Raw genomic sequence first — 14,331 nt, forward strand, 5'->3', positions numbered from 1 at the left:
CCACGAGTTATCTGCTTAGCACCACTCAGGGTAAGAAACTGGCAAGAGACCAGACTCACAAAGGAGTGGGGGAGAGGAGTCGTACGGTGAAGTATAAACCGTACGACTGTTCTGAAGGGTAATTCTACACATACGTCAGTCCTTTAAAAACTGGTGGAGTATAAATCACACGACTGTCCTGAAGGGTAATTCTACAAAGATATTTCAGTCCTTTAAAAATGTGTAACTTTTGATCCAGCAATTTCACTTTAAAGAGCTTTATCTGGGGAAAACTTGGCTGAGTGAAGAGACACTCACATTCTACTTGTACAGCATTGTTTGTAATGCTGACCTGAATAGCCTAGGCCTCTCTGGGTAAACAGATGAAGGCGTCTATTCGATGGAATGGTTATTAAAAATCACGTAGATCTCTATTCATTGACATGTGAAGATGTCCTAATTTAAAAAAAAGCTTGCAAGGAGGTATATAACTAACCTCATTTTTGTGTTTACTGCATTAATAACCACACGTAACATTTTATACTTAGAAATACAAGCTACTCACATTATGAAAAATATTTTGCTGATCATTCAGTATGATAGCATTATGTAATTAAGGTTTAAAACATTACTTGTTGGCATGACAAGAATGTTGTGTAGTAAGGAGAGAAGGTACGACACTTTTTAAAGATGGGAAATTAAACAAGGAACATTTAAATGATGGCCTAAATGAGCCACACTCCCACGTGACTGTGCTGGAATGAGAGCTTGGCCATCCCGCTCAGGGCTCAGCCCACCACCCCAGCAACACAGCAGACACGACACCCCACCTCATAGACTTCATTCCACTTTGGACTGAGGTTCTCCTTGATGACTCTGCTTTGGAAGATTTGGTTGCCAACTCTAATGATTCCATAGGGGTCTGACTTTCCCTTGACAAGTCCCTTAAGGTAAGTGTCTTTCCCCTGAAGATCCTGAGCTTCAATAAAATGTATCCTTAGAACACCCTGAAAAGAAGAACAAACTGAAGTTTAGACCCTTGGCTGGCTTGTTTAACTGGCATGGAAGATAGCTACGCACCTAACCCCGTCTCGAGAATTGGGAGTGCCGAGGGAATAAAGACCCTCTTCTGGTGCCGAGTACATCCCAGCAGCGGGGAAATGCAAGTGTGTATAGGAGAAGCAGGTGCTGAGACAAACAAGAGCAGGGCAAGGCAGCAGTGCCCAGGTGAGGCTGGCTCAGAGGAGAACAGATGGGCTTCTGGAGGGACAACCCCTCCACAGAGACACGAGGACAGACAGCCCCACGCAGCCCCAGAGCGCGCTCCTGGCAGAGGGACGCCGAATGCAGAGGACCCAGCACAGTACCATGCTTATCTCAAGGAGGCTGGTGACACAGGCCACCCAGCTGTACTAGATCCTGGTGCTACAGTGAGTAATAACATGAGAGGTTGTATCAGACCTGTCACGAAGCATTAGACATGTAGTAACTATGCTGTTTCATTTTCAGAATAATTCTATGCAATCCTGTCATTAAACTTATTTTAGAGAGGAGAAAACTGCAACTTTGAAATATGTATTATTCATAGACTTTAAACATAGTCTTGGCCAGGCGCGGTGGCTCATGCCTGTGATCACAGCACTTTGGAAGACCGAGGTGGGTAGATCAATTGAGGCCAGGAGTTCAAGACCAGCCTGGCCAACATGGCAAAACCCCATCTCTACTAAAATTACAAAAAATTTAGCCAGGCATGGTGGCGCATGTCCGTAGTCCCAGTTACTCAGAAGGCTGGGGTGTGAGAATCCCTTGAACCCAGGAGGCAGAGCTTGCAGTGAGCTGAGATGGCGCCACTGCATTCCAGCCTGAGCGACAGAGCAAGACCCTGTCTCAAAATAAATAAATAAACGAACAAAAAAACCAAATATAGTCCTTTCCCGAAAATATTGTTTTATTGATAAAATAAAAAAAAAATTCACTCTTATTTCTTCCAAGGCAAACAAAGATGCTCAAGTCACCTTTTGGTAGGAAGCATTCTGCCCCCACACATCCTTTTTTAAAATTACAGAGTGATGGCCAGGTGCGGTGACTCACGCCTCTAATACCAGCACTTTGGGAGGCCGAGGTGGGCGGATCATGAGGTCAGGAGATCGAGACCATCCTGGCTAACACAGTGAAACCCCATCTCTACTAAAAAACAAAAATTAGCCAGGTGTGGTGGCGGCTGAGGTGGAAGAATGGTGTGAATTCGGGAGGCGGAGCTTGCAGTGAGCCGAGATTGTGCTACTGCACTCCAGCCTGGGCGACAGAGCGAGACTCCATCTCAAAAAAAAAAAAATTTACAGAGTGATATTCCTCATTCAATCAGCACAGGAATACATGTCCCCCCACAGAGGAACACACTTGGAAAACTCGAAGCAGCTCTTGTTTATATTTTCACATGTCTAAAGTTGAGATAATCTGGCCACATCTATTGACAGCACCGGCTGTTAAGCCCATGCAGCTGAGGGCAGCCAGATCCAGGCTCAGGTGCTCACCTGTACTCAGAGCATAAGAGGCTTAGGTGCAGAGGATTTCTACAAGTAAAGGGATTCCTGCATTTCCAGAGGTGAGAGTCAGAAGTTAAGGAAAAAAGACATTCTTTTCTAATATACAGCATCACATTAAAGCTGTTGAATGCCAGCGATATAACCAATTTGAGCACCAAATTTACTGGCATATTGTTACTCTTAAAAAATATAAGGATACCTCTGCATGTCTGTTAATTTGTGCACCATTATTTAGATCTAATTAAACCAGAAAAAGTAAAAAGGCATCAGGAGAAAGCGATCTACTTCTACTTCAGCGAACAAAAATAAAAACAACATATCCACTGAAACAGGACCAACTTACCACGTCCTGTTTCAGTAAATATAAATAATGTGGTGTGCACTGCTTACTACAGACACCACCACGGTGGTAATGCTCACTGGCTTCTGGAGTCCAAAGTCCAGACAGACTTAAACAGACATGGGATCTAACACCTGAGTGACTGAAAAGCTCCTTAGCCCATGAGAGATCCTTCACTCCACCCACCCCTTCCATAGTCAGCAGAAGGAATCTCATGTTCTTGACTACTTTGCAGTTATTTATTTAGTTTGCTCAAATGAAGGTGACATCAGTATCTGCAACCAGCTCTGTGTGCTGGGTGCTGTCCCATTTTACAGATGACAAAACTGTGGCCCAGCCACACCAAGTAATATACCCATAAAAGCAAAGCTACAGCTAAACTCAAGAGCTGCGACAAAAATCTAGTTTTGTTCTTTCCATTTTATCCAGGGCAGCTGTTGTATAAGTGCTTCTTCTACCAGGTTACTCATTAAATGGCTTCAGAGGCAACGGAATTCTAACATCTGAGAGAAAATATACAAATTATTACATGAAGCTCTCATCATGACTGCCAGGAAAACTGGTGCCTGTTGCTGAGGGCTGTCCATTTTAATAAAAACAAATGCAGTATGTGCTTTCTGAGGTAACTAAGATGTCCGTGCCATGTACCCCTGCAGATTTAAATCCCTATCAGCCCCTCTGAGGAACACAGCTATGGGGTGAGAATCATCCTGCTGTCTCCACGACAAGCTTTAGGATCAGCGCACATCAGTCAAGTCTCTTAAGGAAAGTGACGGACAACCAATAGTCAATGCATCAAGACCCGTGTGGCAAGCTGGCTGCTGGGGAGAGACAAAGAGTCACAGCACCCAATGCCACACCCGCAGGCAGGCAGGTCTCCAAGATGTTTTTAAATGTGAATGGATGCCGGGACACGCTTACCTTTGGTACAGGAAACCGCAACTGAGCTATTTGAACTTCACTGACAAGTGGAACGGTGATTCGATTGGGAAGCACCAGATAGTTTGATATTATATCCAAAATGATAGTATCTGATAAACCACTGTTAGTTGGGAGACAAAAAGAGCAAACGGACTATCAGACATGTGAATGCTTCTCTCACCTTTGACAACAGACTTACCACGAATATGATGTAAGTCCCATTTATTTACAGAGTAGGAGTTATCTCATTCCTCCAGTGCAATATTTACAACCTGCATTTCAATTCTTTAGCTGTGATACCACTATGGTGACTATGATACAGAATTTATTTATAGAATACAAGGTAAAATTCTAGTTATTGCACAAGTAATGTGGTTTTTGCAATTAAAATGGCAAAAACTGCAAATACTTTTGCACCAACCTAATACACTTCATAATTTCCTAAATAACATTTAATGTATTCCTACTTCATCACAGATTTTATACTTATTTACTAAAATACACCTCATTGACTTTTTTTAACATAAACTATTTCAAACATACATATAAGTACAGAGAATAACATTCATTGGCCCATTCATGTTCATATACACATCTCATTTCTCCGTTGTTGTACACCAGTCCCCACTGAAGGAGAACTTACTTTGTTCTCTCTTATCCATTATCCAACACTTTGAGTATTGGACACATTAATAATTTTTGAAATACTATACATCACTGCACAGCAAACTAAGTGAATAAAATTGCTTAGGCTAAAGGAAAAAATATACTTGCTTTTTTAATGAGACAGAGTTTTGATCCTGTTGCCCAGGCTGGAGTACAACAGCATGATCTCAGCTCACTGCAACCTCCAGCTCCTGGGTTTAAGCAATTCTCCTGCCTCAGCCTCCGAAGTAGCTGGGATTACAGGCGCGCACCACCACGCCTGGCTAATATTGTATTTTTAGTAGAGACAGGGTTCACCATGTTGGCGAGGCTGGTCTCGAACTCTTGACCTCAGGTGACCCACCCACCTTGGCCTCCCGAAGTGCTGGGATTATAGGCGTAAGCCACCACGCCTGGTCAAAGATGTACTTTTAATATATCTTTTTTGGCCGGGCACGGTGCCTTACGCCTGTAATCCCTACACTTTGGGGAGGCTAACGTGGGAGGACTGTTTGAGCCCAGGAGCTAGAGACTAGCCTGGGCAACACAGAGCGAGACCCCTCATCTCTATTTAAACAAACAAACATATATATATGTCCTATTCTTTAGGGTAAACGTGAGAATTAAATAATGCATATGTGGCAGCACTTTTAAACACATTTATAAACCTAAGTTTCGTTGCTGTATAACACCTTTACCTGAATTGTGAAGTTGCGAAAGTACTTTGCTTCTCGCCCGTAATGTTTTAGATGCTAAAATTATTAACATACATAATTACAAATAAATTCTGAGACCGTGATAATCGTCAGCGTTCAACAAATAATGCCCAACCACCCACTGCAAGACAGTATCCACGTGTGATGACCCAGCACCTCAAGGACTTTTCAGTTTAATATGGGAAAAAATTTTTTAAATCCCCAAAAGAAAAACCATATGTAACACTACTCTACTTATGAACAGGTCAGTTATTCAGACAGTTAATACTTCCACAGAGATTCGGAGGGCTTCAGCCAGCAGACACTGGCTGTGTGTTCACCACGCAGAGGCAGGACCCACCCACCTTTCTCACACACAGACTCCTGGCCTCGGAGGCCACAGCAGCTCTGACGGAGCTCCCTGGCGGGGCTCCCCTCACTGCGCCTCCTCACCCCACTACACCCTGCATGTCCCCGAACTGTGGATGTGGATGCTGCTCCCCTAGGTCTCCACAGAAGCGTCTATTGAAGTGGTTACTTTCTTGGGAGTCACTATTTCCCTGTGTGTCCTTCGGAACCACGACTACTCATCACCCGTATTTTGTTTCCACCATAATCTTCACCCTTCTTAAACCTTCAACACTCAGCTTAGAGACGCTTATCAAAACATAACGGATATTTAATCATAATTTTCACCCTTCTTACGACTTCAACACTCAGCTTAGAGCCGCTTATTAAAACACAATGGATATTTAATAGGGATAGCCCAAAGTTATGGTGTAGTGAAGGAATTCAGGCATTATTCTTACTCTATAATGTCTGGGGTTTCTTTTTGTAATCAATTAATATAACATGTGGATGCTCATTTTATAAAGCTTGGGACAAGATTTCATTATGTTAAGTTCATGGTTATTTATTTATTTATTTTTTTAATTAATTTATTTTTTTTGAGACAGAGTCTCATTCTGTTGCCCAGGCTGGAGTGCTATGGCATGATCCTGGCTCACTGCAACCTCCACCTCCCGAGTAGCTGGGATTACAGGTGTGTGCCCACGCCCAACTAATTTTTGTATTTTTAGTAGAGATGGGATTTCACTATGTTGGCTAGGTTGGTCTCAAACTCCCGACCTCAGGCGATCCACCCGCCTCAGCCTCCCAAAGTGCTGGGATTACAGGTATGAGCCACCGCGTTCAGCCTCATAGTTATTTAATATTCACTTTTATAACCTAAGGGTTGCCATAGCTGTAATTTATCTGATAGAAAGACTGACAACTAGTAGCCCCAATTTTACGTACATATCTATTAAATTTTAGTACATAACATTTATGTAAACATAATTTATTATATAAAATCTACATAATTGTGCATAAATTATATATACCTATATATATAAACTTAGAAAAGATATTTTTACATTTCCCTTTTATACAACAGCCTGTTTTTTGAATGGTGTTTGTGTATTTATCTGTTAGGTAAGTATATATTTTTAATGACATAATTATACATATACGATTATATATATATATATTTTTTTTCCTGAGACGGAGTCTCACTCTGTCGCCCAGGCTGGAGTGCAGTGGCGCGATCTTTGCTCAGTGCAAGCTCCGCCTCCTGGGTTCACGCCATTCTCCTGCCTCAGCCTCCCGAGTAGCTGGGACTACAGGCGCCTGCCACCATGCCCGGCTAATTTTTTTGTATTTTCAGTAGAGACAGGGTTTCACTGTGTTAGCCAGGATGGTCTCGATCTCCTGACCTCATGATCCACCTGCCTCGGCCTCCCAAAGTGCTGGGATTACAGGCGTGAGCCACCGCCCCTGGCCTTATGATTATATTTTTGTATTACATATATAAAATCTACATATAAAACAAGAGAAGCTGGATGCAGTGGTACAAGTCTATAGTTCAGCTACTTGGGAGGCTGAGGCAGGAAGATCCCTTGAGCCCAGGGGGTTGACACCAGCCTGAGAAACAGAGTGAGATCTATCTCTGAAAACAAAATGAAAAATAAAAATAAAATAGCTAGAAATGACTACTGTATAAAAAGAGCCTACATAAAAATTATTAAATAGAATGGAGCTATACATGTATATTTATCTCTGTATTTACGTGTGTATGTGTGAATGACTTTTAAATAAAATGAATCAGGGGATCAACTTCCCCAAACTGTAGGCTTGCCGGGGCAGAACACATTCTCTGACTGCCCTTTCAGGTTGCCAGTATTAATACAACGTTGTTTACAGAGTAGATGTTCAATAATGCTGTTTTATTTCAGTCCTCCTATGATACTGAAGGGAGGCAAAATCAAATACTTTTTTCTACACTGATGTGTGTGGATGTTTGTTCCATTTGGCTAAACAGTATCTCCTCCCCCTATTTCTAGAGAAAGTTTTTGCTTTGGGGGATGCCCCCATTCACTGGAATTTCCATTTCTTTGCCTTCTGTAGGGGTGTATGTGAGATTGAAACCTGATCATCGGAGTCGCAGGAATCTGTCCAAGGGTGGCCCTTGCACACACAAGTTGGGCGGGGACCTAGCGGGAAAGGCGACTAAGTCCGCAGACTAAATGCTTGTAGCTGCAGGCACAGCAAGAGACTGCCTGAAAACAAGCCCACGAGGGACACGCCCACCCTGCATGGGTGGGGAGCTGGCGAGAGAGCCCTTATGGTGCCCAACACCGGCTCCATCTGAAGTCCCTCAGAAGACACGCCAGCTTTCCAGCTGCCGAGCAGGAAACAAGCACAGCTGTGTCCCATGCACGAGCGGCTGCAGCTAGCTCAGAGCAGGCAGTGGGCGCCCATTGTTGGAAGAGTGAATAAACTGCTTTTTGAAAATATTATTTACTGGCCGGGTGCGGTGTCTCATGCCTGTAATCCCAGCACTTTGGGAGGCCGAGGCAGGCAGATCACCTGAGCTCAGGAGTTCAAGACCAGCCTGGCCAACATGGCGAAACCCCATCTCTACTAAAAAAATACAAAAATTAGCCAGGTGTGGTGGCGCGCACCTGTAATCCCAGCTACTTGGGAGGCTGAGGCAGGGAGAATTGCTTGAACCTGGGAGGTGGTGCTTGCAGTGAGCTGAGACTGTAACACTGCACTCCAGCCTGGGCAACAGAGTGAGATTCCATCTCAAAAAAAAAAAAAGAAACTTACTTATTTACCTACTTAAGACCACTTAAGTCAGGTTTGTTGCTTGCAACCAGAATCTTAATGAACTCTTTAACCAATCTTTTAAAGTTGTGCTTTCTTTCCGCAGATCTTTTAAAGATCACAGCATTTTTCTGCATCCAGTAAACCACAGCACCTAAAAAGGACTTTCATGATGACTGTGCTTCAGATAATTAAAGTCCTAATTTTTCCCTAATAATGAAACAAAACTCTTTAGAAAGGCCATTTCAGAGGCATAAACAAATATATGAGAATAAAAAAATAGTCTGAAACCAAGTTTCATAATTTTCTAAACTATTTTAGGGAAAACAAATCACACTAGAAAATATCCACTAGAAACATATAACTTTAACCCACAGGTGATATGTTTTAACTTTCAAATAAAACGGTAAAGCCAGCAAAAGCATTTAGAGGCTGTAATTTCAAAACTTCCTATTTGGAGGTGACCAACAGGTCTGCCACCCACAGCCCCACGCACTGTTTCAGGTAATGGCACCACGGCAACTAGAATGACTCCTTGTCTCTAAGCAGGGATGCACCCTCCAGGGCCTCAGATGCTTGTTATGGAACATTTTTCTCCTGTTTTAGACACTAGATCACTACGGAATAATGAAGGGACTCCCAGTGAAATGATACGGAACTTCAAGTTCCTCACCTCTCACACTCAAGAGTTCTGGCGAAGTCCAGAAGTCCACACTGTCCCCAACCCATTTCAAAAAGGAATGGAATAAAAGTTAAAAAAAAAAAAAAGGCAGAAAGGGTGGGGTAGCCATAGGCTGGAGAGACCCTGGAAAGCATTTCCTTTTAAAGTTTCCTTTATTGTTTCTGAGAAGATTAAAAAAAAAAATTTGCAAACTGTTTTTACAAAATATTAAAAGACCTCTACTTTTCGAACATGCCAAGGCCAGGAAGACACCTTGTGGTGAACAAACGCAAATGAAGACTGCGTCCTCAGCTGGCACTCCAGAGCCCTCCCGCCCTGGCCCATCGCCTCCCAGCAGCTCCCGGCAGGCAGAACAAAGCCCCTGTACCCTCTGCTTGTTTCTCACGACAGCCTGTGGAGAAGGCACCCATTCACCTGGCAGACGCAGGTCTTAACCATTCTCACACTATTGTCAAGACATCCAAAATGCACAACACGCCCTCGAACGCTAAGCCTCCGGGACCAGACACGAGACTTACTTCAATCCAGGGACATCCAGAAGATTCGTCAGTCCTGTCCAGTTAATTTCTAAAAGCTGTTTTAAAACAAGGGCAAAATATTAAGTTCCAAACAATTTCCAATTATTGAATCAGGTGCACACAGGCTTGTTTCTTTGTAGACAAAATGGGTTAGTACACAACACAGACCCACACCCTTCATCCTTCGTAATATACCAAGGACATTTTTCTTTGGTGGTACGTGGAGACCTGCCTCTTTTTGTTTTTTGATAATGTCACAGTTTTTGCTAGTAAAATCATGAAATAATTTATTTACCCACTCTCCTATGGATGGATACTTAGAATTTTGACAACTTTTCTTTATTGTAATTACAAATAATGAGTCAGGGAATATCTTTTTACATACATGTTCTCATATACATATGCAGACTAGCATTCAAAAAGTGAGATTTTGGGGTCAAAGGCTTATGTTCATTTTTAATGTCAATAGATGGTACCTACCTGCCCTCCAAAAATACTGTATCCATTTACATTCCCAACCAAAGTGTATGAAAATGTCCTTTTCACATACCTCACCAAAAACAATACTAAAAGCCAGCCTATCTGGCAGTTAAATAATGGACTTTATCATTGTTTTACTTTGTATTTTCCAATTAGCAGACCATGCTCTACCCACTCATTCAACATCTGTGTTTATCTTAGAATAATTCCCAGTTAGCTAACATTCCATTAAGTAGATGTGGGTTGATGAAAACTATTGATTAGAAATACCGCTTTTCCTAACAAAACAGCACATAATAAAATTACTTGTGTTCTATATTTGTAGAAGAAATTCTAAGTAAAATTGCATGATCTCAATCACCCATATAGTTGAGTAACAAAACTGCTTTTTGGTTGCAATCCCTTTTTGGTTGCAAGCAAATATAAAGTGGAAGAGTCAAGATTCTTATAGATAGAACAAAACTTAAAAACAAACAAACAAACAAAAAACAATTTTTAAGATCCTGAAAGGCTAAGATTTCTCAATGTAACAGAAATGAGATATAAATATAAAATATTAGGAAGGAAAAAATAGGCAACTAATCTTCAAACTGGATTGCAAACATCAGTATCAACCTATGCTTTACCTCCCCCTTAAAATAAATGTTTTTCCCTAGTCCACCCATTGAACCCACCTGGCTAAACCTCTACATTCTAAATCATATGAATATATTTATAAACACTGACTTAAGAGCTCATTTTCCTTTCTCTTTTCTCTTACACAACTTAAAAAGGAACAGGTACTCCCTGCCACAGCAAAATATTCTGGTCATACAAAAATACCTGTCATGAGGAAACGAAGATTTAAAAGGGCATCACAACAGGATTCTATCATTTAGTTCTGAAGGTTGTTACTTCTGATCACAAATCTACATCAGGAAGTAAGAACATATCAAAGATATAGCACAGAATCTTGCATTTGACTCAGGTTAAAATGCAAGCACCTCACACAGCGCACCATCAGAGGACACCCACTGGTGACTGCTCCATCCGCAGAGCTGTGAGACACAGGGGCCACATGAACTTCAGGAAAGGATGGCTGTGTCAAGGAAAGTGGCAGGTAAGCTTCTAAATACAATTAGATGAGGCCATTGTAGTTAAAAGAACAGGAAAGAGAATACAATTCAAAGATGCTATTTAACAAAGAAATAAAGAATTTTTCCTATACAGGCATGCCTCGGAGATATTGTGGGCTGGGTTCTAGAGCAGTGCAGTAAAGGGAATATTGCAACATGTGAGTCACACACATTTTTTGGTTTCCCAAGGCATACTTAAGTGTGCAATAGCATTATATCTTTTTAAAAATGTACATACCTTTATTTTAAAACATTTTATTGCTAAAAAATGCTAACGATCACATAAGCCTTCAGCGCGTCATAATCTGGCTGGTAGAGGGTTTTGCCTCAGTGCTGATGGTTGCTGACTGACCGGGGTGGTGGTTGCTGAAGGTTAGGGTAAGACAACAGTGAAGTTTGCTGCATTGACTGACTCTGCCTTTCAAAAAAGATTTCTCTGTAGCATGCCACACTGTTTGATAGCATTTTACCCACAGAACAGCTTTCAAAAGCGGAGTCATCCTCTCAAACCCTGCTACTCCTTTATCAACTAAATTTATGTGATATTCTAAATCGCTTATTGTCATTTCAACAATGTTTGCAGCATCTTCACTAGGAGTAGATTCCATCTCAGGAAACCACTTTCTTTGTTAGTCATAAGAAGCAATTTCTCGTCCTTAAACTTTGATCCTGAGACTGCAGCAATTCAGCCCCCTCTTCAGGCTCCACTTCTAACTACGGTTCTCTCACTATTTCCCTTCCACCTGCACTTCCTTCTTCCACTGAAGTCTTAAACCCCTCAAAGTCATCCATGAGAGTTGGAATCAACTTTTTCCAAATTCCTGTTAATATTCATATTTTGTCTCCTCATGAATCACTAGTGTTTTCAATGGCATCTAGGATGGTGAATCCTTTCCGGAGGTTTTCGACTTACTTTGCCCAGATCCATCAGAGGAATCACTGTCTGTGGCAGCTATCGTCTTACAAAAAGTATTCCTTAAATAATAAGACTTGAAAGTTGAAATTTCCCCTTGATCCATGGGCTGGAGAATGGATGAGGTGTCAGCAGGCAAGAAAACAGCATTTACCTCCTTGTACACCTGCATCAGATCTCCTGGGTGACCAGGTGCACTGCTGATGAGCAGTTATATTTTGAGGGACTCTTTTTTTTCTGAGCAGCAGGTCTGGACAGTGGGCTTAAAATATTTGGTAAACCAGTGTGTAAAAAGGTGTGCTGTCATCCAGGCTTTGTTTTTCCAGGTATAGAACACAGACAGTGTAGATATAGCGTGATTCTTAAGGGCCCAAGGGTCTTCAGAATGGGAAATGAGTGCTTACTTCAACTTAAAGTCACCACCTGCATTAGCTGTGACAAGACAGTTAGCTTGTCCTTTGAAGCCTTGAAGTCAGGCACTGACCGCTCCTCTCTAGCTGGAAAAGTTCCAGATGGCATCTTCTTCCAGCAGAAGGATGTTTAATATACACTGAAAATCTGTTGTTTAGTGGAGCCACCTTTATCAATGATCTTAGCTAGATCTTCTGGATAACTTGCTATTTTACCTTGCACTTTTATGTTATGGAGATGGCTTCTTTCCGTGAACCTCATAAACCAACCTCTTCAAACTTTTCTTCTGCAACTTCCTCACCTCTGTCAGTCTTCATAGAAGTGAAGATAGTTAGGACTTTGCTGTGGATTAGGCTCTGCCTTAAGGAAATATAATGTCTGGGCTGATCATCTCTCCAGGCACTAAAACTTTCTCCCTATCAGCAAGAAGGCTGTTTCCTTATCACTGGTGTGTTCACTGGAGCAGCACTTTTATTTTCCTTCGAACATTTCCTTTGCATTTACAATTTGGCTGTTTGGCACAAGAGGCTTAGCTTTCAGCCTGTGCTGGCTTTCAACATGGCTTCTTCACTAAGCTTAATCATTTCTAGCTTCGCTTTTTTTTTTTTTTTGAGACAGAGTCTTGCTCTGTCGCCCAGGCTGGAGTGCAATGGCGCCATCTTAGCTCACTACAACCTCCGCCTCCCAGGTTCAAGTGATTCTCCTGCTTCAGCCTCCCAAGTAGCTGGGACTACAGGCATACACTACTACGCCCAGCTAATTTTTGTATTTTTTTTTTTTTTAAGTAGAGAGGTGTTTTCACTATGTTGACCACGCTGGTCTTGAACTCCTGACCTCAAGTGATCCGCCCCACTTGGCCTCTGAAAGTGCTGGGATTACAGGCGTGAGCCACCTAGCTTCTGACTGAAAGTGAGAGGCGTTCAACTCTGTCTTTCACTTAAATACATAAAGGCCACTGCAGGGTTGTGAATTCGCCTAAAATTTCAATATTGTTGTGTCTCAGGGAATAGGGAGATCCAGGAGAGGGAGACATAGGAGAACAGTCAGTCAGTGGAGCAGTCAGAAGATACGACATTTACCAATTAACCTGGCCATTTGATATGGTTTGGCTCTGTGTCCCTACCCAAATCTCATGTCGAACTGTAATCTCCATGTGTTGAGGGAGGGACCTGGTAGGAGGTGATTGGCGTGGGCACAGTTTCTCCCACACTATTCTCATGATAGTGAGGGAGTTCTCATGAGTTCTGATAGTTCTAAAAGTGGCTGTTTCTCCTGGACACTCTCTCTCCTGCCATCATGTAAGATGTGCCTCACTTCCCCTTCATCTTCTGCCATGACTGTAAGTTTCCTGAGGCCTCCCCAGACATGCAGAACCTTGAGTCAATTAACCCTCCTTTCTTTATAAAATGCCCAGTCTCAGGTAGTATCTTTATAACCCCCCTTTCTTCATAAAATGCCCAGTCTCAGGTAGAATCTTTATAGCGGTGTGAGAATGTACTAATCCGCCATCTTACACAGGCATGGTTTGTAATGCCCCAAAACGATTACATTAGAAACAACAAAGATCACTGACCACAGATCACAGTCACAGATAATAATGAAAAAGTGTGAAATTCTGCGAGAATTGCCGAAACATGACACAGAGCCATGAAGTGAGCACATGCTGTTCGCTTCACAGCACGGACAGGCTTATTTTTCACAGGGCTGCCATAAACTTTCAACTAGTAAAAACACAGTATCTACGAAGCGCAATAAAGCAAAGCACAATAAAGCGAGGTGTGCCTATGAACACTTTCATCTTAAATGTCGCATTCATATTTTATACGTCAGTCTTGTTACTTTAAGAAAAAAACCACCTACCATAGTCTTAATAGCATTAAGGTAGAATTGTTTTATCCAGGAAGTTTTGGGAAACAGAATTAACAACTCTCTTAAGAGC

At 42.0% G+C, this 14,331-nt stretch overlaps 1 protein-coding gene across 9 annotated transcripts in view; it reads right to left on the reverse strand.

Annotated features, from left to right (window-relative positions):
- The window catches only part of ESYT2 (extended synaptotagmin 2), a 98,513-nt gene that overhangs the window by 32,871 nt on the left and 51,311 nt on the right, over positions 1-14,331 (reverse strand). For all 9 annotated transcript variants that reach the window (XM_024446846.2, NM_020728.3, NM_001367773.1 and 6 more), the window contains 3 exons: positions 9,474-9,529; positions 3,787-3,907; positions 810-986 (listed from right to left, as the gene is read on the reverse strand). In XM_024446846.2, coding sequence (XP_024302614.2) covers positions 810-986; positions 3,787-3,907; positions 9,474-9,529 — 354 coding nt within the window. The remainder of the gene's footprint in view (positions 1-809; positions 987-3,786; positions 3,908-9,473; positions 9,530-14,331) is intronic.

The sequence above is a fragment of the Homo sapiens genome, chromosome 7 (genome assembly GCF_000001405.40).
Source record: "Homo sapiens chromosome 7, GRCh38.p14 Primary Assembly".
Classification (NCBI taxonomy): Eukaryota; Metazoa; Chordata; class Mammalia; order Primates; family Hominidae; genus Homo; species Homo sapiens.